Consider the following 21,930-nt stretch of genomic DNA (forward strand, 5'->3'; position numbering starts at 1 on the left):
TGACCCAGCCATCCCATTACTGGGTATATACCCAAAGGACTATAAATCATGCTGCTATAAAGACACATGCACACGTACGTTTATTGTGGCATTATTCACAATAGCAAAGACTTGGAACCAACCCAAATGTCCAACAATGATAGACTGGATTAAGAAAATGTGGCACATATACACCATGCAATACTATGCAGCCATAAAAAATGATGAGTTCATGTCCTTTGTAGGGACATGGATGAAATTGGAAATCATCATTCTCAGTAAACTATCGCAAGAACAAAAAACCAAACACCGCATATTCTCACTCATAGGTGGGAATTGAACAATGAGATCACATGGACACAAGAAGGGGAATATCACACTCTGGGGACTGTGGTGGGGTGGGGGGAGGGGGGAGGGATAGCATTGGGAGATATACCTAATGCTAGATGACGAGTTAGTGGGTGCAGCGCACCAGCATGGCACATGTATACATATGTAACTAACCTGCACAATCTGCACATGTACCCTAAAACTTAAAGTATAATTAAAAAAAAAAAAGAGGCTCTGATGGGCTGCTTCAGAAAGACAGGATTTGAACAAATCGTTGAGAATTTAAGAACAGATAAAAAGACAATCCTCAGTAATCACTGCCTTAAAAATGTAACCAGATTTTGGGAGGCTGAGGCGGGCAGATCACAAGGTCAAGAGATCGAGACCATCCTGGCCAACATGGTGAAACCCTGTCTCTACTGAAAATAGAAAAACTTCGCTGGGTGTGGTGGCATGTGCCTACAGTCCCAGCTACTCGGGAGGCTGAGGCAGGAAAATCGCTTGAACCCAGGAGGCAGAGGTTGCAGTGAGCCTAGATCGTACCACTGCAGTCCAGCCTGGCTCATAGCGAGACTCTGTCTCAAAAACCAAAACCAAAACAAAATGTAACCAGAGGGGTCAATTTTCGCTTTGCAGTTAGGGTATTTTTTGTTTTGTTTTGTTTTTGTTTTTGTTTTCAGACGGAGCTCTCGCTCTGTAGCCAGGCTGGAGTGCGGTGGCGCTATTTGGCTCACTGCAACCTCTGCCTCCCAGGTTCAAGAGATTCTCCTGCCTCAGCCTCCCGAGTAGCTGGGACTACAGGGGCATGCCACCATGCCCAGCTAATTTTTTTGTATTTTCAGTAGAGACAGGGTTTCACCATGTTGGCCAGGATGGTCTCGATCTCTTGACCTCGTGATCTGCCCGCCTTGGCCTCCCAAAGCGCTGGGATTACAGGCGTGAGCCACCACTTGAAGCAAGGCAGCCGACGTGAAAGCAGAGCGAGAAAAGCTACACACGATGCGGCCTCTGCTGTTCCTGTTCCTGTTCCTGGTCAGTGATGTTGCAGGTTTAGGGTCAGCAAACCACAGCCGGCAGCCCGAATCCCTGCCTCTTTCTAGAAATATGGTGTTACTGCAACAAAACTGTGCCCACCTGTTCATTGTCTGACTGTTTTCAATGATAGGGTTGAAAAGCTAGAAGGGAATCAAGTGGCCTGAAAAGCCTAAAATACTTACTCTCTGGGCCTTTACAGAAAAATAGTTCAATAACTCCTTCTCTAGGGTCGAAATGCTTCCTGGTGATGAAATCTCAGCTGTCTAACTGCCGTATTGTTTACAGACTGGTATGAGGTCCTTTGTAATTTTTCTGCAGCTAGGTGCATTAGAACCTACCTCCTTAGAAGGTTGTTGTTATAAGCTCCGTCCCATCTGGCTTCTTCATAGGCCCATGTTGCCATGGGAATGGGCCCAGGAGACTCCAAGGTTTATCCGCCAGGCTGACCTTAGTCTTATTGAGAGGTGACATCGTGCTGGCAGTCCTCAGAGCCCTCGCTCGCTCTCGGCGCCTCCTCTGCCTGGGCTCCCACTTTGGCGGCACTTGAGGAGCCCTTCAGCCCACCGCTGCACTGTGGGAGCCCCTTTCTTGGCTGGCCAAGGCCGGAGCCGGCTCCCTCAGCTTGCAGGGAGGTGTGGAGGGAGAGGCGCGAGCGGGAACCGAGGCTGCGCGCGGCGCTTGCGGGCCAGCTGAAGTTCCGGGTGGGCGTGGGCTTGGCGGGCCCCGCACTTGGAGCAGCCGGCCGGCCCTGCCGGCCCCGGGCAATGAGGGGCTTAGCACCCGGGCCAGCGGCTGCGGAGGGTGTACTGGGTCCCCCAGCAGTGCCAGCCCATCGGCGCTGAGCTCGATTTCTCGCCAGGCCTTAGCTGCCTTCCCACGGGGCAGGGCTCGGGACCTGCAGCCGGCCATGCCTGAGTCTCCCACCCCCTCCATGGGCTCCTATGCGGCCGGAGCCTCCCAGATGAGCGCCGCCCCCTGCTCCAAGGCGCCCAGTCCCATCGACCACCCAAGGGCTGAGGAGTGCGGGCGCACGGCACGGGACTGGCAGGCAGCTCCACCTGCAGCCCCTTTGCGGGATCCACTGGGTGAAGCCAGCTGCGCTCCTGAGTCTGGTGGGGACGTGGAGAACCTTTATGTCTAGCCCAGGGATTGTAAATACACCAGCAGGCACTCTATCTAGCTCAAGGTTTGTAAACACACCAATCAGCACCCTGTGTCTAGCTCAGGTTTGTGAATGCACCAATCGACACTCTGTATCTAGCTACTCTGGTGGGGACTTGGACAACCTTTGTGTCCACACTCTGTATCTAGTTAATCTAGTGGGGTCGTGAAGAACCTTTGTGTCTAGCTCAGGGATTGTAAACGCACCAGTCGGCGCCAAGTCAAAATAGACCACTCGGCTCTACCAATCAGCAAAATGTGGGTGGGGCCAGATAAGAGAATAAAAAGCAGGCTGCCCGAGCCAGCAGTGGCAACCCGCTGGGGTCCCCTTCCACACTGTGGAAGCTTTGTTCTTTTGCTCTTTGCAATAAATCTTGTTACTGCTCACTCTTTGGGTCCACTCTGCTTTTATGAGCTGTAACACACACCGCGAAGGTCTGCAGCTTCACTCCTGAGCCAGGGAGACCACGAACCCACCAGAAGGAAGAAACTCTGAACACATCCAAACATCAGAAGGAACAAACTGCAGACGCGCCAACTTAAGAGCTGTAACACTCACGGCGAGGGTCCGCAGCTTCATTCTTCAAGTCAGTGAGACCAAGAACCCACCAATTCCGGACACATTATTGTTGATAAATCTGAGGTCAAAGGCATCAACAGATGATTGAAAAGTTTAACTCCAAGTGCCGTTTCATTATCAAATATTTTTAAGCAAATCTCCATTTTACTCCAGATACTTCTGAACACGTTCTGCTATGAGATCTTCACTTTATTCCAATCTTTTGCATTCTACCATCATTTTTAAGCCAAAATACTTCAGGCAGGCTAGAAGATGAAAAAATATTTATGTCCCAAATAAGTGGCATGCACTACTGTCGTAGAAGAGAATCCATGGGGTGCAGGGACCCACGTACCTCCCTCTTGGGAAGTGCATCTCAGGTCAGGGACTCCTACAGGGCCCAATGACTGGGGCTTCAAATAATCCCACAGAGCTGAGCCAGGAAGTAGAACAATAATTAGAAGTGAAAAATGGACAAGTCTGCAATATAATCCAATGGAGACAATTCAAGGAGGAAATTGGCAAACCACTATGTTTGCACAGGTACGTTATGGAAGGAAAGGAGGGAATCCTAAGAAACAAGAGATTTCTTAAGGCTGATTTGTGCAGACATGATGCAGATCATTTTCTTAAGAACTATCTGCCCAACAACACAATTCAGTCCTCCAGGTTTTTACTTCCCAGTGTTCTTCAAAAATGTGTATCAATGAGGAATTTATTTGAAGAACAGCTCCTTGTTTGAAGTTGCTGATCTTTGCCTAGAATAGGCCAAGGAAAATATACCTCATCCCGTTAAGGAGTTAGAAAGCTGTTCCAGCAGATCATATTGTAGCAAACCTGACATAAGTTCATTTAAATGCTAAGGATCTGATCTGAGCTTGTGTTTCTGGAATTGCCAATGCACATTTCAGAGGGCCTCAGTAACTGTCAGCCAAGCCTTGGTTTTGCTTTTTGCCTTTGGCAAACCCACTCAAGAATGGTTCTAAACACAAGGACCAGAGATGTGGAACAGGGTGAAAGCAGCGGCGCTGGGAACACCTGCTTCCCGGCAATCTGGCTGCCTGGCCTTGGACAAGTTATCACCTGAGCCTCACTTGTAAAATGGTGATAATAGGGTCTCCCGATAATAGGGTCTCCCTCCAGGGGTGGCTGAGAGTCAGAGAAGGGAGCTGCGAGGGCTTCTCAAGATCAAGGATCTGTCAGCTTAGCTGCTCCTGGGAAGGAGGCTGAGACTCACATTGTCAGCTTTCACTCACTAAAGAGAGTCTTGCTTGAGGGGCTTGGACAAACAGGAGCTGGGATTAGAGTGGGTGGGACTGGGAAGGAGAGAGAGAAAAAAGGAAAGAAGCAAAGATTGACTCTCCAAATCTCTAAAATCACCCACCCTACAAGTGCAGAAAGCTTGTTCTGAGCAGAAAGGACTTGATCCGGAGCCAGGTAGATCACCTTCTCTCCTGGAGGCAGCTCTGGAAAAAGGCTCTTAGGCTTCTGGCAGTTCCTCCCCTGAGAATCTCACCCTCTGCAGGTCTCCTCCTGCCTGGGAAACAAAGTCTCTCCAGTCCTTTTGCTGCCTTATGCCCCTGATCCCTGCACCCCCGGACCGGACCCCCAGCCCCATCCCATCCATGGGAACCACCAAGCTCCAAGTACTTATTGAGCCACCACCTTCTTCCAGGGACTCACCACCCCTGTCGGGGGATGCAGGGTTGCAGTGGAGAGCAGCCAGCTGGGGTCATTGGGAATACCAGAGTTGGGGCTTGGATGGAAACTGAGTGGGGAGGGCAGCAGTTCTGGGGAGGTGGGAGGAGATGTAGGTAAGTGAAGGGGGCCAGGGAGCAGCCCTGCAGGTAGGGGGCCGGCCAGAGGCTGGCAGCAGGAGAGGAGACCCCTGCAGGCAGTATGGACAGTGGGGCAGAAGTGAGCAGGCGGGAGGGCACATGCCACTTGAGGGCCCGGTGTGAGCTCAGCGAGGGGATCCAGCCAGGGTCCCTCCTGCAGAGGAACCAGCCTCAGTGTGGTCCGAAGAGCCCCAGGAGCTCAAGAAGGTGGCAAAGCCATGGCAGGCAGAGGGAAACTCAGGGAGGGGAAAGAAAAGATCGGAACTGAGGGGAGTCCTGCAGCAGCTACAGCAGGGAAGTGGTTCTGCAGCACCGTTTCCAGATTGCAGGGCTCGTTTAGAACCGTCTCAGCCTGCTGGGGTGGGAGACTGGAGAGGAGCTGCCCACAGCCTCCAGGGTGTTGTCAGAGCTTGGTGCTTGCCCTGCTCTGTCGGCAATCAGCACGGTTGCTGTGATGACACTGAGCTGCCTTGGAAGGAGATGCACAGGTAATGGGGACCTTTCTCAGGAATGCCATAAACTGTGACATAGGCCTCTCCTCGGGACTTTACAAAGCCTTAGTGAAATTCTGAAATCCACCAAATGCTTAATGTGATTCGGTTTGGGGGAAAAGCCAGAGAGGGGAACTGAATGTTGAATCAAGATTGAAACAGCCTCAGCCCACATGATGATGTGAGCAGCCACACATTTAGGTCCCCAAAAGGGTCACTGATAGGGTCACACTGGTCTGGCCCAGGAAGGGTCTGTCTGCATCTGTGCTGAGAGCTGGGGCCTCTGGAGGGCTCAGCGGAACCAGGTGAGACCAGCCAGCACCAGCCTGAGTCCTCAGCCCCCGGGCACCAGAGGCCTTCCCACCTGACTCTGCCATGACAAGTGCCCTGACTGTCTGCGGTGTTCTAGAAAGGTGACCAACAGGTGTAGGCTAATTACATTTCAAAAAAGTTTTTTTTTTTCCCGGCACATATAACAGGACTAGTCCTCTCCCCTCTTCTCATCAGATTCCATTTCCTTTAGCAAACGCACACGGTGTTCGATTTAAGTGCAATTCTCAGAAAACTTAATAACTGCAGTGTTTAATTAGTCTGACAACATTTATTGAAGCGATGAATACAGAAAAAAGTACTTTCAAGGAAGAAAAATGATGTGTCATTGTTTTGTGTTTTCTTTTCTCAAATCTGTAGGCAGGTATGAAACCGAGCAGCAATCTCTGTCTTGAAAAGCTGGTATTTCTGTTTCTAGAACGTATGTGTGTTTGGGGTGGGGTATAGAATAGAGGGATGAACTGAGTCCTTCACCCACTACCTGGTCTGCTCACTCTGCCCACGCGTGTCCCCTCGGCAGCCCTGTGAGTGCCTGAGCTGTGGCTCCCCAGGCAGTGAAGAGCTAGGCCCTGGAGCCAGACCCCCAGAGGTGATTCCCAGCTCTGCCATTGCCATGCCTCAGTTTCCCCATCTGCAAAATTGGCTTAATGACAGTGCTTCCCTCTTGCAGTCATAAAGCTCTTAGAATACAGCTTGGCAGAAAAATGTTGCCTGTCACTATTTGTGCTGTAAAAGCCCTACCTCTTGGCCGAATGGAGCTCAGTAAACCAATGGGAGAAACAGGTCCCTTCTGAGATCTCCCTAGATCCCTATTCAGCCCCTGGTAGGCTCACAATAAGGGCTCAGTGTTTGTGGGAGTGAGTATCTGTGCAGAAGGAAGATCAGAATCCAGAGGTGACAGTTTAAGGTTAACATATTATTTTCCCAGCATTTCAAAAGAAAATGCCGTGAAACACTAGTCCCACAAGATATTCCTGAGAAAAAACAAATGGGATAGGAACCAAATGAGCTGGGAAAACAGGGCATTCAATGTCTCCCCTCAGAGATTCCCAGTGCACGCTTGCACTTCAAAGGCTCTGAGAAGTCCTACCATAAAGACACCTGCTTAAATGTGTTTCAGCCAATACTAGCTAAACTCATTTGCTGAGGAATTTCCTTCTCCCCTCTTTGCTTTCCCTCCCTCCCTTCCCTTCTCCCTCCCTCTCTCCCTCCCTTCCGTTCATGCTGTGAATGCCCCATGGAATCCATGCTGGATTAGGAGTGGGCACAGTTGCTCGAGAAGCACAGGAACTTGCTGGGTGTGCTACAGAAAGCCTTTGTTTTCTCTCTTTTTTTTTTTTTTTTTTTTTTTTTTTTTTTTTTTTTTTGAGACGGAGTCTCACTCTGTCACCCAGGCTGGAGTGCAGTGGCGCGATCTCCGCTCACTGCAAGCTCCGCCTCCTGGGTTCACTCCATTCTCCTGCCTCAGCCTCCCGAGTAGTTGGGACTACAGGTGCCCGCCACCACACCCAGCTAATTTTTTGTATTTTTAGTAGAGACGGGTTTTCATCGTGTTAACCAGGATGGTCTCGATCTCCTGACTTCGTCATCCGCCCACCTCGGCCTCCCAAAGTGCTGGGATTACAGTCGTGAGCCACCGCACCCGGCCTAGAAAGCCTTTCTAAGCAGGCAACAGAGCAACGATGCCACTCTCTCAATAGGATTTCTGGAAGGCCCAGCACTGCAGTACCAGGGAGGATCCAGGGGTCTAAGCCTTGTAGGAGGCTAGTACCTCAACCATGGAGACAGATGGTTTCTTTCCAGAGCACAGCCTCAGGGCTCCCTTTCAACTGATCTGACCTTGGCTGACGCTAAAGGATTTAATGTCTTTTCCCAGAGTGAAACTAAATCTTTTCTATATACGAAGCTGAGAGACCATCAGACAATTTTTTTCCAAGCCTAGAAGTTTCATGGGGAAGAAAACAACAAAAACACGTAAGCCAAATCAAACCAAACCAAAACAAAAGCAACCCTGAGAACAGAAACACACTAATGAGATTTCTGAGCCTTTAAAAGCTTCTGAATAATTCGTGCAACCACAACTTTCCTTCTTTTTTGTTTCTTAGGATTCCCAGGGTAAGAGGACTCAGCTTTGCCATGGTCCCTTCCAAGTGGCATCCTGTCTCTGCTTACACACCTCCAATGATGGGCTGCTCACTACCTCCCAGGCTGTCCCTTGTATTACTCTTAACTTCCATCACCAGAATGTGCTTTAGGTAACAGTAAGATGACTCCAGAGATCCCCCACATCAGACTGGTTGTCTAGTGTAGGCATTGAAACTCTGGATTCTGAATTAGGCCTCCTGGATTAGAACCCCAGCTCCACCATTTATGAGCTATGTACAAGTAGGCAACATGCCACATTCCTCTGTGCCTCAGTTTACTCACCTGCAAAATGGGGGATCATACACTGTACTTATCCCATAGGGTTGCTGAGTGATAACACTCATATCAGTGTGTGGCGCATAGTGCTATGCAAGGGTTTGATGCTATTCTTTTCTAAATTGTGATGACTTGGGACATTCAGCAGCGCAGTCTTTTCTAGATTCTCCATCAAGCACATACAGGTCTGCGCACCCAGCCTGGACATCAGCCCTTTGGACTTATACCAGGCAGCCATGTCCCAAAGGCACAGCCATGGCACCAGGAGGAAAAGGCCAGGGAACGACCAGGACACTGGGAGCTACTCTGCCCATCCACTGTGGTAAGTTCTTGTGCTGAAAGCTCAGGTCCTCAATCCAAACTATCCTCCCTTTAGATTATGGCCTCCTGGCCTCATTTTCTGATTCACTGAGGTTCATTCACTGAGACTTTGGACGTGAATGGTTGTGTAGCTCATCACCCTCTTCTCCTTCTGCTGGAACCTATGTGGCTGCCAATAATGAAGGGGTGTCTCTTAACTTCACTCACCATCTGCTTTCAAGCCTTGGGACCTGGTAAAGAAGCAGTGTCCCAGGTGGAACTCCCCAGGACCCTGGGACCAGGAACCTGTTGCCTCTTGCTGGAGATGGCCCTGAGGACATCTGGAGGCACTCCTAGTCCCCAGAGATGCTTCATCCCCCAGTCCACAGACCCAGTTTCCTGGCAGTGCCCTGCCTGTCTCTCTCCTGGGGATGTACACAGGTGCCCCACTGGAAGCAGCTAGAGAGTAGGTGAGGGACAGGGGGATGGAAAGGATATTGGGCCAGGTCAAAATACATCACAGATGGAAAACATCCAAGTGACCCGGATGGGAGAGCACCCATGAGTGGGTGTCCTGCTGGGCATCCCCCTAACCTCAGACTCTCAGGGAGTGAAGCTTCCATTGAGTCACCCTTGCCAAACCATGCGCCATATGATCCTCAGAGCTTCAGGGTAGCCACGATCACCCCACTTCACAGAGGAGTGAACTAGGCTCAGAGAGGTTGAGAAAACCAGGATGACCAACCATTCTGGATTGCCCCAAAAGGAGGAGTTTCCTAGGACACCAGACTTTCAACTAGGACAGTCCTTGGCAAACTGGGACAGTTGGTTGTGCTGCAATTAAGTGACAAATTTGGGATGCAAGTCAAAGCCCTGCCTGACATCCTGGTCTGAGCCACTTCCACTCTAACCAGCTTTCCAGAGGAGGGAGAATTTAGAAGGATCTGATCCCCAGTGATGCTGGAATCACAAGTGCTCTCTTCCTGCAGGAGGGGGAAGCTGAGTTCGGTCAGCAAATGAGACAGGAAGGCCCAGAAACCAGCAGGGGCCAGAATTAAAGGATTGTCTTCTTAGCCATGCTCTGTTGGAAAGAATGCAGTTTTCAAAACATTTTTAAACTTTTTTGCGCCGTGGACTTTGGACATTCCAAGTAAATCTATTTGCAACACTGGACCAAGTTATACCATTTTGGTTTGGGGTGCTTTCCTTTCATACAAAAACTACCAAAGAAAGCCATTGCTGCTTCTTCTGTCCTTATTTTTCTCTTGAACGAATAGCAGATGCTTTAGGGGAAATGAAACTGAACATGTTGGCTGAAAACCAAAACATCAGTCTACAGCATCTGGGCTTTAGAACCAGGATTCTTTTCCTGCTACCTTGGGGGTGGCTCTGTTTTTAATTACAAGGCCAGCAAATGACAGTGCTCGCTCCTGACAATGGCACCAGGGTCATTCTTCATGAGGACAGGGTCACAGTGGCCACTACTCATTCCAACGCTGGTCTCAGAGATTGTCATGCTCAGGGCCACCTTCCACTGTTTGATCTACTCAGGAATCCTGGTGAGATCAGATTCAATAAATAAACTAAATAAACCACCAATGAGGTTTAAATAAAGCTGTAACACTGCTTGCAGGCGGAAGCATTGTGACTGTTAAGATACCATAAACAGTCAGGATGTTGCCTGCACTTGCAGGGGGATGAGAATTTAAGAAAGCTCCAGAGAGGTTGCTCCGTTTCCTTGCATTTGCTTCCTGGCCCACCCCTACTCTCATCTCCTCCTTCCCATTTTCCTTTCCTACCCTGACCAACTTGGATGTTGGCCACTCCTAGTGAGGCTGGCTGAGAGTCTTGCTGGGTGTGAATTAGACCACGTGAAACCACTTGAGGTCATTAGAATGTTAAGTGGAGAAGCAAGTCCCGACTAACACAGAGTGGCCTGACCTCACTGTCCAGCTGCCAGAATGAGGGCAAAGGCTCATCTGAAAGTTCGTGAAGACCCAGCTCCCATCTGAACACACAGGGAGGCACTTGTGCCTTGGAGAACCAATGACATGGAATATACTCCTGGGAAAACCTCCCTTTGTGGCCTGGGCCTGTCAAGCAAATGGCACTTTTGGCCTTCGGTCATCAGATTGACCCTTATGTTCATTAGAGTCAGTAGGCTTTAAGCCATCAGTGGTTGAGGCAGCTTAACTCGTATACATGAGTGGGATTATGAATGGAAATGCTGTGTTTGAGAACTGAGCGGCTAGTGGCTTTTCATAAAGTCATCGCGATGCTTGGTGAGCCTCAGGCCCGGCCTCTGATGGACCTTCCCAGGGCCATCCTCCCACACCCTGAGCCACAGACATGAGCGTCCACCTGAGCTGACAATCAGGACTCTGGAACACCTGACTCTCCTGTAGTGGAGTGAATAGTATCCCTTCCAAATTCACCTCCATCTGGAACCTCAGAATGCGACCTTACATGAAAATAGGGTCACTGCAGATGTAATTAGTTAAAGATCTTGAGATGAAATGCAATGACTCCTATCTTCACAAGAAGAGAAGAGGACACAGAGACTCACACAGAGGGAAGAAGGACATTTGATAATGTGGGACAGAGATTGGAGTTGTGCTGCCATAAGCCAAGAAATCCCAAGTTTTGCCAGTCACCTCCAGAGGCTAAGAAGAGGCAAGGAGGGTCCCCCCACTAGAACCTGCAGAGAGAGCCTGGTCCTACCAACCCTGATTTCAGACACCTGGTCTCCAGAACTGCTAGAGAACAGTTTTCTATTGTTTTAAGCTAGCACATTTGTGGTCATTTGTTACGGCAGCTCTAGGAAGCTAACCACCTCCAATGAACAAAAATGAGGACCCAGAATTCTTCTGGGTCCTCTTCAAGTTGTAGAGATAATCCCCCTGCATTTTGCCCAAAAGACTAAGAATTCTAACTCTACCCTCCTGTCCTTCTTTCTGGCTGAGGGTGGCTAGGAGGAGGCCTTTTGCTTGTGTTTGTTTTACTTGGAGTCCTTGTCAGGTAAGGACCCACTTTCTAAAAAGAAAAGGATGTCCTTCAGTTGCACCTTTGGACTTAGAAATTCCATTTGCAGCCAGATTTACACCACAGGCTCAGTACCTTCGGCCTCCATCACCATGTTCAGCAGCCCTCCCAGGCTTGGTGGCATTTCTTTCTGTTGTCTGCTGCTGATCAGAGGGAACTATGAACACCCAGCAAGTCCCAAACTCATAGCCTGGGGAACGTCCAGCTTGTCAAAGACATTGGACCCATGATGGTGGCTTGGGGAAGGTTCCAGAGTCAGGGAATCTCTTTGGCTTTAGCGTTCTAACTTTCTGGAGCCCAGAATCCCTTTTGCCAATACATTCCAATCTGTGCTCCTTGGAACTGTAATGCCCTGCAAAATATTAATAAACATTTTTAAAGCATCATGATCAAATATGTCTGGGAACTGCCAACATAAATATAATTAAATGGCTTTCTTACTGCAGAACTTCTCAGAGCCTTTAATATGCCAAATACAAGTTGTACCCCTCCAAGTAAAGGATGTGGTATTTGGGGATTCTCAAGCCTGTTAATCATAGGTTTTCCTCTGTGTTCTGCCTGCCTCTGCCTGACTGTGCTTTTATGAACTTCAGCAATGAAGAAATCCCTCCCTTGCTTCTCTTCCATGCTTTAAGGAAGCCACTCTACCCTTCCAGTTTCTCCCATAAATCCATGTAACTATGCAGCTTCCTGGTCCAGAACTTTTCACTAGGTCTCGAGCCCCCATGGCCAGAATTCACTTTTGAATGGCATAAAAGATCCGCCCAAAATCCAGAGCCAGGCAACCTGTCCTGCTCAGTGTCTACCATCTGTACCCCTCGAAATGGGCCTGAAACCCACGTGGTTCTGAACCCACAGCACAATCACAGTGTTGCTCTTGCTGTCTGAAACACCAGCTGCCTGGCTCATCTGTCTGACAAACAAGGACACATCCTTGAGGCTTTGTGCCCACCCCCCAATGCCTCCCCTTATCTGGATCAGGAGCCCACCTCTGAGCCCCACACCCCTGAGCTTACCACAAGATCTGCTTCTCTACATAATAATTGTATTAGCCAGATTTCTCCAGGGGGACAGAACCAATAGTATGTATATATGAATGAAAGGGGATTTATTCTGGGGAACTGGCTCACATGATCACAAGGTGAAGTCTCACTATAGTCTGCAAGCTGGAAAACCAGAGAAGCTGTTAGCACAGCTCAGTCTAAGCCCAAAAGCCTCAGAGCAAGGGAAGCTGATAGTGCAGCCCCAGTCTGAGGCTGAAGGCCTGAGAGCCCCGGAAGACTGCTAGTGCAAGCCCAGCAAAGGCCGAACGATCTAGAGTGATGTCCAAGAGCAAGAGGAGAAAATGGCATCCCACTCTAGAAGAGAAAGAGAGAGAAGAACGAGAGCCAGCTGGGTACCCCCCTCCCTCTGCCTGCTTTGTCCCAGCCAGGCCCCAGCTGATTGCATGGTGGCCCCACATCGAAGGCAGGTCTTCCTCCCTCAGTCCACTGAATCATATCACAATCTTATGTAAACCCCCACATAGACACCCAGGAACAATGCTTCACAGCCATCGAGGCCTCCCTCAGTCCAATCCATTTGACACCTAACATTTACCATCACGATAATGTACCACTCATTGGCCTGTCTGTGATGACCTGGATGGTAAGTTATGGACAAGTCTTGCCCACCACACCATCTCCAGCATTTTCTACAGTGTTGAACACTCCAGGTCTCCATGCACCTGCTTCGTGATTTGACAAATTGGGGTCCTGGACATTCACTGGCCATGTTTTTGTTGTTGTTGTTGTTTGTTTTTTGTTGTTGTTTGTTTGTTTGTTTTGAGACAGTCTTGCTGTGTCGCCCAGGCTGGAGTGCAGTGGCACGATCTCAGCTCACTGCAGCCTCTGCCTCCTGGGTTCCAGTGATTCTCCTGCCTCAGCCTCCTGAGATTACAGGCGCATGCCACCACGCCAGGTTAATTTTTATATTTTTAGTAGAGATGGGGTTTCACCATTTTGGCCAGGCTGGTCTCAAAACTCCTGGCCTAGGGTGATCTGCCTGCCTCGGCCTCCCAAAGTCCTGGGATTACAGGCGTGAGCCACTGTGCCCAGCCCACCAGCCATGTTTTTACTGGAGGGTAAGGACAAGACCATCAGGTCTGTAAGTCACCCATATTTACAGTCTTTGCTCCTTGCCTTCATGTCTACTTTGTTTGACATTAGCACAACCACACTTATTTTTCTTTTCCCATGTGCTTATATTGTTTTATGTTCAGCCTCCTCTATCCTTAACAATGTGTCCCTTCTAAGTACCAAGTAACTGGGTTCTTGGTTTTTTATTTGCTCTGTCTTCCAACTGGAGATCAGACAATTTACATACAATGGTATTACTAATGTGGTTCCGTTTAAATCCATCATCTTATTATTTACTTTCAATTTTTCTCACCTGTTTGATGTTCCTTTTCCCTTCTGTCTTCTTTTGGATTAGTATTTTTTTTTATTATTCCATTTTCCACTCTATTATCTTGTTGCTTATAGATTCTTTTCTATATACTTAGTGATTATGTGTTGGATTACATCATTTGTCCTTGACTTATTATTAAAGCCTAATGTAAATCTGTATTTCCACTTTCCAGACAAGTGAAAAGGACCTTAGAACATTCTAGTTTTGTTTATCCCTCTTCTGGTTTAGGTGCAATTGTTATTGTGTATTTTAATTCTTTATGCATCCAAAACTCCCTCAAGACATAATAATTATGATTCTATTTGGTGAATACCCCTTTAGGCTCGCCCACATTATCTCTCCTCAGACCTTCCTGCATCTCTCAGCTGCCATTTGGAAGCTTAGTGCCCTTCTGCCTGAAGAACACTTTTCTGTATTTCCTTTGGTACTGTTAATAAATTCTTGCAGCTTTTGCTTGCCTTAGCTGTCTTCATTTTGCTTCATTTTGCTTTCATTTCCTTTATGGAAAATCTCAAGCATACAGAAATGGAGAAGATAATGTAATATACCTCTATGGACACATCACGCAGTTTAAACAACAATCTGTCACCCCCCTGCTTTACGGCTGTTTTCACTGGCTAGTCTGGGTTGGGAATTATTTTCTCTCAACACTTTGGAGCTATTCCATTGTCTTCTAGCTTCTGCTATTTCTATAGAAATGTCAGTTGTCAGTTTTAGTGACATTCCTTTGGGTATGCCTGATCATTTTTGATTGTCAGACACTATCTATCATCTATCTATCTATCTATCTATCTATCTATCTATCTATCTATCTATCTAATCTATCTATAGAGAGAGAGAGGCAGAGTCTCGCTCTGTTGCCCAGGCTGGAGTGCAATGGTGCAATCTTGGGTCACTGCAACCTCCACCTCCCAGGTTCAAGCAATTATCCTGCCTCAACCTCCCAAGTAGCTGGGACTACAGGTGTGTGCCACCATGCCTGGCTGATTTTTATATATATATTTTAATAGAGACGGGGGTTTCACCATGCTGGCCAGGCTGGCCTCAAACTCCTGATCTCATGATCTGCCCACCTGGGCCTCCCAAAGTGCTAGAATTACAGGTATGAGCCACTGCACCAGGTATTTTAAAATACTAACATTTTAAAAATTATATTTAATTTGAGAATTTGGATGATGTTGTCTTCCTCCAGAGAGGATTTACTTTTGCTTTTTGCAGGCAGCTAAACATTAGAAACCCCAGGTTACTTAAATCCAATAGGACCTGAGATGATTCAGAACTAGGCATTGACCTTTGTGAGGTTTGGCCTATTTCTGGTGCACTTTTTAGAGTGTAGCCTTACAGAGCCCTCCAAACTCCTTGTGTCTACTAAAAGCTCCACTTAGATTCTCAGCTTCTCAGTCACCTCTTGTAAACCCAGGAAAAAACATTTTGGCCACTTCTTGAAGATGGAGGTAAGATTCCAGAGGCCCCGTTGCCCTATCTATGTGGCCTACAGGCTGCACCATGCCCTGCTATAATGGCCAAGTAAGGTATGCTCTCCCCAGCTCACCAAAGGAAAGCAAGTCTCTGTCAAATCTTCCACAGGTTTTCATGATGTTTATCTTCCGCTAATGAGCAAAAGGATGAAACACAGTGCATAACAGCAAGTGTGGAGGTGACCAGTAATGTTGAGGTCAAGGGCTATTTTTTTTCTGGATGTGTTTGTGGTTCTAATATTTAAGAAAATAAAAACACGCAGTGCTGCTGTCTTTTTGGCTACTTGGCTGGCGTCATTTGGCTGGTTTGTGGGGTTGAATGAAATGTTTACACATTTCTGGTGTCACACAAACAGAGCCAATGGGCTCCTTGATTTGTGCAGCTGGATTGGAGTACGGGCTAGGTTGAGATGAACCCAAACTTCTTTCTTTTATGGATGACTGTGATCCACGGGATCTAGAGCAAGTCAGAAAATCAAGTGCTGGTAGGGGTGGAGCAACCAGAGTGTGAGGGGATGGTCAAAGTGTAGCACTTATGCCCACCCTGTGTGAGGGGGTTCCAGGGCTGCAGGTTCTCAAAGACCAGGATCAGCCATGAAGCTCCAGCTGACTCTTGGCACAGAAAAATTGGGATCCAGAGTGTCAGATCCCTTGATCTTTCAAAAGAAGCCAGAAATTCAAATAACTAGGTGAAATAGCCAGTTTTTGGCTTGACTAAAAAAAAAAATCCAGTGTAAGCCAAACAAAATATATCTCTGGACCAACATCAGCCCTTGTATTGACAGTTTGTGACTTTGATATAATAAAAATAAGCATAGCATTGTGGTGCACCTTTCTTTTTTTTTTTTTTTTGAGACAGAGTCTTGCTCTGTCGCCCAGGCTGGAGTGCAGTGGCGCCATCTCGACTCACCGCAACCTCCGCCTCCCGGGTTCACTCCATTCTCCTGCCTCAGCCTCCCGAGTAGCTGGGACTACAGGTGCCCGCCACCACACCCAGCTAATTTTTTTGTATTTTTAGTAGAGACGGGGTTTCACCGTGTTAGCCAGGATGGTCTCGATCTCCTGACCTTGTGATCCACCCCCACCTTGGCCTCCCAAAGTGCTGGGATTGCAGGCGTGAACCACCGCACCCGGCCTGTGGTGCATCTTTTATTCACTATCTTAAGACACCAAGAAAATTGACATATGAGCAACACTTTAGGGCATCTTGGTCTTGCTGTACTACTTAGGGCCCATCCTGGACACACTTGGGGCTTCTTGAGTAGTGGCCCAGATGTTTCTGCCTCATTCCCGATCACCTGAGTTGTATGTGCGAATTTTGTTTAAAGCAGTATGACCACACCACCTTATTCAGGTGGAGTTCTGAAAGCTGGGGCCTGAGCATCTGAGGTTTGAACAGCAGCCCAAGTGATTTAATGTACAGCCAGAGCTGAGTTCATTTCGCTCTGCACTCCCCTGTCCTCCTGGTGGAGGGATGGTGACCAAGATGGGACTAAGCCCCTGATGGCCACCCCGTTTGCCAAAGTCCCCAATAGCTTAGAAAGGACGATTTCCGAGCAACATGTCTACACACATCTGGGCCCGTTTTCCGGACCTGTCACAGGACAGGAGAAAGGGCATGAAATCTAGCAACAAAATACCTGGAGTGGTGTCCTCTGTCACTTCCTGGCTGGATTGGGCACTTGCCTATTTGACCTCCATTTTTTCTACTTTTAACAAGATGGTAATGCTGGTGCTGGTGAGATGGAAGATTCTGCGAGCAGCTAGCAAGCTGTGGAGTGCGGTGCACACATGGGTGCTAGTTTTCTCAGGTCCCCTACCCCCAGACCTTGGTGTGTGTCCAGCCTCGGCCCCTCCTCTGCTTTCCCAGGAAACACTCCCACACTGCTTCACACAGGTCCTGCCATGGGACCCACTGTCCTCAGGGAGGCCCTCCTGCCTCAGTGTCACCAGAACCTTTGCAAAGGGCCCTATCACCCCCAGAGGTTGAGCTCTGGGGCCATGCCTGGTCCAGGACACAGGGCTGGAACGTGGCTTCCCATGCTTATCGGCTCCAACTGTGGAAAGGAGACCTTGGCCCTTGTTACTGACGTCAGCCCCTTCAGAGAGGCGAGTCGGCCATGAGCACCTCAGTTCTGCCCCTCTGCTCTCCTCCCAGGCTCCAGCCCACTCTGGCTTGCCCCACGTGCCCCCACCCTGTCTCTGCGCCTCCCCTCTAAGGCTCCGTCTGAGCAGAGACTCACTGCCCCCCTCCCTTCCTCCTTCCCTGAGCTCTCAGATTCCAATAGCATGCTCTCCTGGCTGTTGGGCCATCAGTATCTCTGCATTCTGTCATGATTTTTTTTTTTTTTCACACAGGAAGCCCTAGAACGCTGCCACTGTCTTCTTAAGTAGCCATATTTTCAGGAAGAGAAGGCCCTCCCAGTGATCGGACATGGTGCAGGGTACACTTGGGGGCCGAGGACCATCCCCGAGGGGATGAGAATAACGTGGGCTCTGGATGCACATCCCTTTATAGCTCCCCTTTCCCTACTTGTCCCTTTCCCTGACTAATTAATGACTCCACCCACCACCCAGCCAATCCAGGTGCCTGGAAGTCATCCTCCACACTTCCAGCGTGGGCAGGGGGTATCTCTTGATCACAGATAAGAGCTTGCCCCATCTGCTGCCCCAGCCCTTCGAAGCCTCCCTGCCATCTTCAGTATGATGCCCCCATCTTTGCCTGGCACTCCCTCCCACCAGACGCTTCCCGGGGCTCAGCCTCCCAGCCCCACCCCACCCCACTCCAGGCCCCATTCATCCCAGGTAGCAGCTTCTGCTGCTCAGATGCCCCTCTGCACCTTGGGTGGTCCAGGAACTCCTCATTCTTCCAGAGGAGGCCTGAGCAGTGAGGGAAGCCCTTGACCCTCGCCTACTGGGGGTACAATTTGACACAGATTTTTTATAGCATCATTTGGTGAGACAAATAAAGTCTTTAAAGTGGCTATGAAATTCCACTTGTAGACATTTTGCCCGGCAAACATGAATGGGCACAAAAATTCAGCTGCAAAGATGTACTTGTAGCAATTTGAAACACCCCAGTGTTGCTTAAAGCAATCCTAGTGCATCTATACAGTGGAATCCTAGGCGTTAAAAACATTAAGGCACATGTAAATTTTGTTTTTCGAACCGTCACGTCTGCCCTGGACTTCCTCAAAGCCTCCTAACAGGCCTCTAGGTGTCCCTCTTTGCTCCTTTCCAAATCATTTGCACCTGGTATTGGGTGAGAACTAAAAGCCTGAATCATGCCATCGGGCAGCTTAAAGCCCCATAAGGCATTTCCATTGTAATGAGATGAGCATGTGAATTCCCTCCCCAAGCTGTGCACCATCAAGGCCCTGCGTGCTCTGTAACCAGGCGCTTGTCTACCTGGGGGGTCCCACAGGAGGACACCGGCCTCAGCCTGGGCCCTGAGCTTGTCACACCCTTGTCAAACAGTGCCTCCCTCCCGCCACACCCACCTTCTATCAGCGCCTCGGGATAAGCCTAGCTCTGCCCCATCTCTGGACTTTGGATATGCTGTCCCTGCATCAGTCGGCTTCCCCTTCCTGGCACTCGGGGTAACTTCTCTACATCCTTCATTTCTCAGAGAGGCTTCCCTTAACCCTTCTGTTCAAATGGGGTTGCTGCTATTATTCCTCACTGTACCTTGTTCTTTCTGTTTTCCCTTTTCCATTTATTACACCCAGTAAATCTGTAAGGACAGCATCCTGATGGGCTTTGTTGACAGAGTACATCCAGCACTGAACACTCTGTACGCCTCACACAGAGGAGGTGCTCGATAAACATGTAAGAATGCCCCTGCTACATTGTAATTTAAAAAGCAAACTACAAAATAGTATGATGGCATATATAACATAGCATAGTATAATCCAATATAATACAAGAGTACAAGGATTAATATTAAAAAATCCAGAAGACTCTTCCACAAACTCTTGTCAGTGGTTAAGTATACATGGTGGGATTATAGATGGTTTCAAATGTTCACCTTCTCTGTATTATCTATATTTTCCAGATTTTAAATACATTTTTATTTTTATTGTATTTATTTATTTGTAGAGACAGAGGTCTTGCAATATTGCCCGGGCCAGTCTCAAACTCCTGGCCTCAAGCAATTCTCCCGCCTCAGCTCTCAAAGTGTTGGGATTACAGGTATGAGTCACAGTGCCCAGACTGAATCAATTTTTCAAAAATGGTAACAATAGCAATTATTCCGCAATAAAAAATAAAAATTTTGCTTAATTCTCATTGTAAAAAGACTCTGCCCACAAATCCCCAGCCTCTGTGAAGTGTTTCCTCTAAGCTCCATCTGCACCACACACCTGAGAAGGTGAAGCTTGAGGCATCCTTCTCTGTCCCATAGCACCTGGGACTGCCTCCTTCATAAGATGAGTCATCACCATTTCATAATCCTCCGTCTCCCTGCGCCCTCCTGCCTATGGGAGCACCCAGAATGTCTTCTTCATAGCCTTCACTCATTAATGATTGTGACTAATTAATTTGAGCTAATCCATTTTATGTGCAATTTCTGGCCTGCTGTCTTCCCCGGGCTGTAATTTCAACAAGGGATCATCTACCCTAATTGCTAGCGTAGTCTTTATAATTCATAGTTAATGCTCGATCAACAGTTGCTAAATGAACAAATGAATGAATGAATGCAAAACAGGATTGTCTCCGAAGTTGAAATCCCTGCCCTTGATTGTGTCTGCCATCAGATGTGCGTCCCCGAAATGCAGAAATCCTACTCGAGAGCAGAGGCATGTTACCACTCACTGGAGTTCCATAGACATCACCTGACCACGGAGACTTTCTAAGTATTTGTTCCTGAGAAGTCTCCGCTGCAAAGTTCCGATTAAGATACCTGTGAGCGGCAGGGCGCGGTGGCTCACGCCTGTAATCCCAGCACTTTGGCAAGCCGAGGAGGGCGGATCACGAGGTCAGGAGATCGAGACCATCCTGGCTAACATGGTGAAACCCTGTCTCTACCAAAAATACAAAAAAATTAGCCGGGCATGGTGGCGGCGCCTGTAGCCCCAGCTACTCGGGAGGCTGAGGCAGGAGAATGGCGTGAACCCGGGAGGCAGAGCTTGCGGTGAGTCGAGATTGCGCCACTGCACTCCAGCCTGGGCGACAGAGCGAGACTCCATCTCAAATAAATAAATAAATAAATAAATAAAAGAAAAAAGAAAAAAAAAAGATACCTGTGAGCTGTGGACATCTGAATGTTCACACAGCACTGACCTTTTTAAACATGAAAATGAAAACGAATAGTCAGACTCCTGCATTTTTCCATGTCTTATTTCAGTTTTAAAGATGGACAATATGATAAGAAAGTCTGTTTCTCTTCTGGATTTCTATTTCCAAAGAGATAGCAAAGGTTCTCAGGTTACTTGGAGAGTTTACTAGGATGCTGAGCGCTCCTCACCCACATAGTTTATTATTCGGGAGGTCTGAGGTGGGACCCCAAAAGACAAATTCTCAGGTGAGGTTGATGCTGCTGGTCTGGCGACCACGCTTGGAGACTCCGTGAGCCAGAGGACTCTGCCCCGACTTGCTAGGGAGGCAGGAGCTCTGGTGACCTGCTGTGTGGCCTGGAGGAAGTCACTGCCCATTCTGAGCCTCGGATTCCTTGTTGGTAAACAGCGTCTTAGGACGCGGCTCTGTGATGCTGTGGCCTGTGCGTCGCATCGGCATGTCTCAGCCGGCACCGGGCAGCAGAGGGCAGCAGAGATCAGGAAATGGCGTCCCGGCAGGCGGCTTCTCCCACTGCTGAAATGAGTTCTCTCAACTGTCGCTCAGCACTCCGAAACCATTAGCCAAAGAAGAAAGACATTTCCTCATCCCTTTGCTCTCCAATGACTAAGAAAAGTGAAGTGATGCCTTACACTGAAATGTATTTCTTAAAAGTTGGATACTTGTATCATCTTGAAAGCCCCTCTACATCCAGGAAAACTGCAGCCCAGAGAGGGGAGGAAAAGCCCGCGGCCTCCTGCTGGTGGTAAGTTCAGGAACACGCATGGGCCTTTCCGCTCCGTCCCAAGCTGAGTTTTACATTCCCTCCTAGACGAGAATTGGCGAGTGGACATGAGGGTAGCTTTCTTCCATGGTGCTGGGGGGCAGGAGGAACCCCAGGGACTCATGGATGTGGGAAGGACATGAGAGGTTTCCCAAGTAGGGCCCCTTGCATTTAGAGCCCCCTCTACATGGAGCTGGAAAAGGGAGTTCCGTTTAAATGTGTGACCCTGGAGTCCCCAAACATCTATTCAGAGACAGCAGATAAATCCCAGACTGCACCTCTCCAGCTGGTCTTCAAGCTCAGAACCCCCTCCTCGTTTCCAAGTGTGGATCCATCAGAATGAAGGGCCCACACCTCTCCCCCACCGTGGATTTCACATTTCCTGGTGCCTCTAAGTCACCAGGAGGGGGCAGAAAATTCTGCCTCCCAAGCCCCACCTCCAGGGACCCCATTCATCAGGTTT

General features: G+C 48.6%; 1 long non-coding RNA gene across 2 annotated transcripts in view, besides 2 other annotated features; it reads right to left on the bottom strand.

The window, feature by feature from the left end:
• LOC105378519 (uncharacterized) overlaps window positions 1-21,930 on the bottom strand; it is a 79,804-nt gene that overhangs the window by 19,990 nt on the left and 37,884 nt on the right. Inside the window, exon 2 of one of the 2 annotated variants that reach the window (XR_946372.3) lies at window positions 4,449-4,601. The exons of the other annotated variant lie outside the window; for it this stretch is intronic. This is a non-coding gene — a long non-coding RNA (uncharacterized LOC105378519). The remainder of the gene's footprint in view (window positions 1-4,448; window positions 4,602-21,930) is intronic. 2 annotated transcript variants of the gene reach the window in all.
• Window positions 21,017-21,311: an enhancer, noted in NCBI's record as "tiled region #5528; HepG2 Activating DNase unmatched - State 4:PromP, and K562 Activating DNase matched - State 12:CtcfO". NCBI's record gives its function as "activates a minimal TATA promoter and a strong SV40 promoter by Sharpr-MPRA in HepG2 and K562 cells {active_cell/tissue: HepG2 | K562}" and the evidence as "EXISTENCE:reporter gene assay evidence [ECO:0000049][PMID:27701403]".
• Window positions 21,216-21,285: an enhancer, noted in NCBI's record as "active region_4139". NCBI's record gives its function as "activates an Ori minimal core promoter by ATAC-STARR-seq in GM12878 lymphoblastoid cells {active_cell/tissue: GM12878}" and the evidence as "EXISTENCE:reporter gene assay evidence [ECO:0000049][PMID:35858748]".

The sequence above is a fragment of the Homo sapiens genome, chromosome 10, assembly GCF_000001405.40.
Source record: "Homo sapiens chromosome 10, GRCh38.p14 Primary Assembly".
In the NCBI taxonomy this organism is placed as follows: Eukaryota; Metazoa; Chordata; class Mammalia; order Primates; family Hominidae; genus Homo; species Homo sapiens.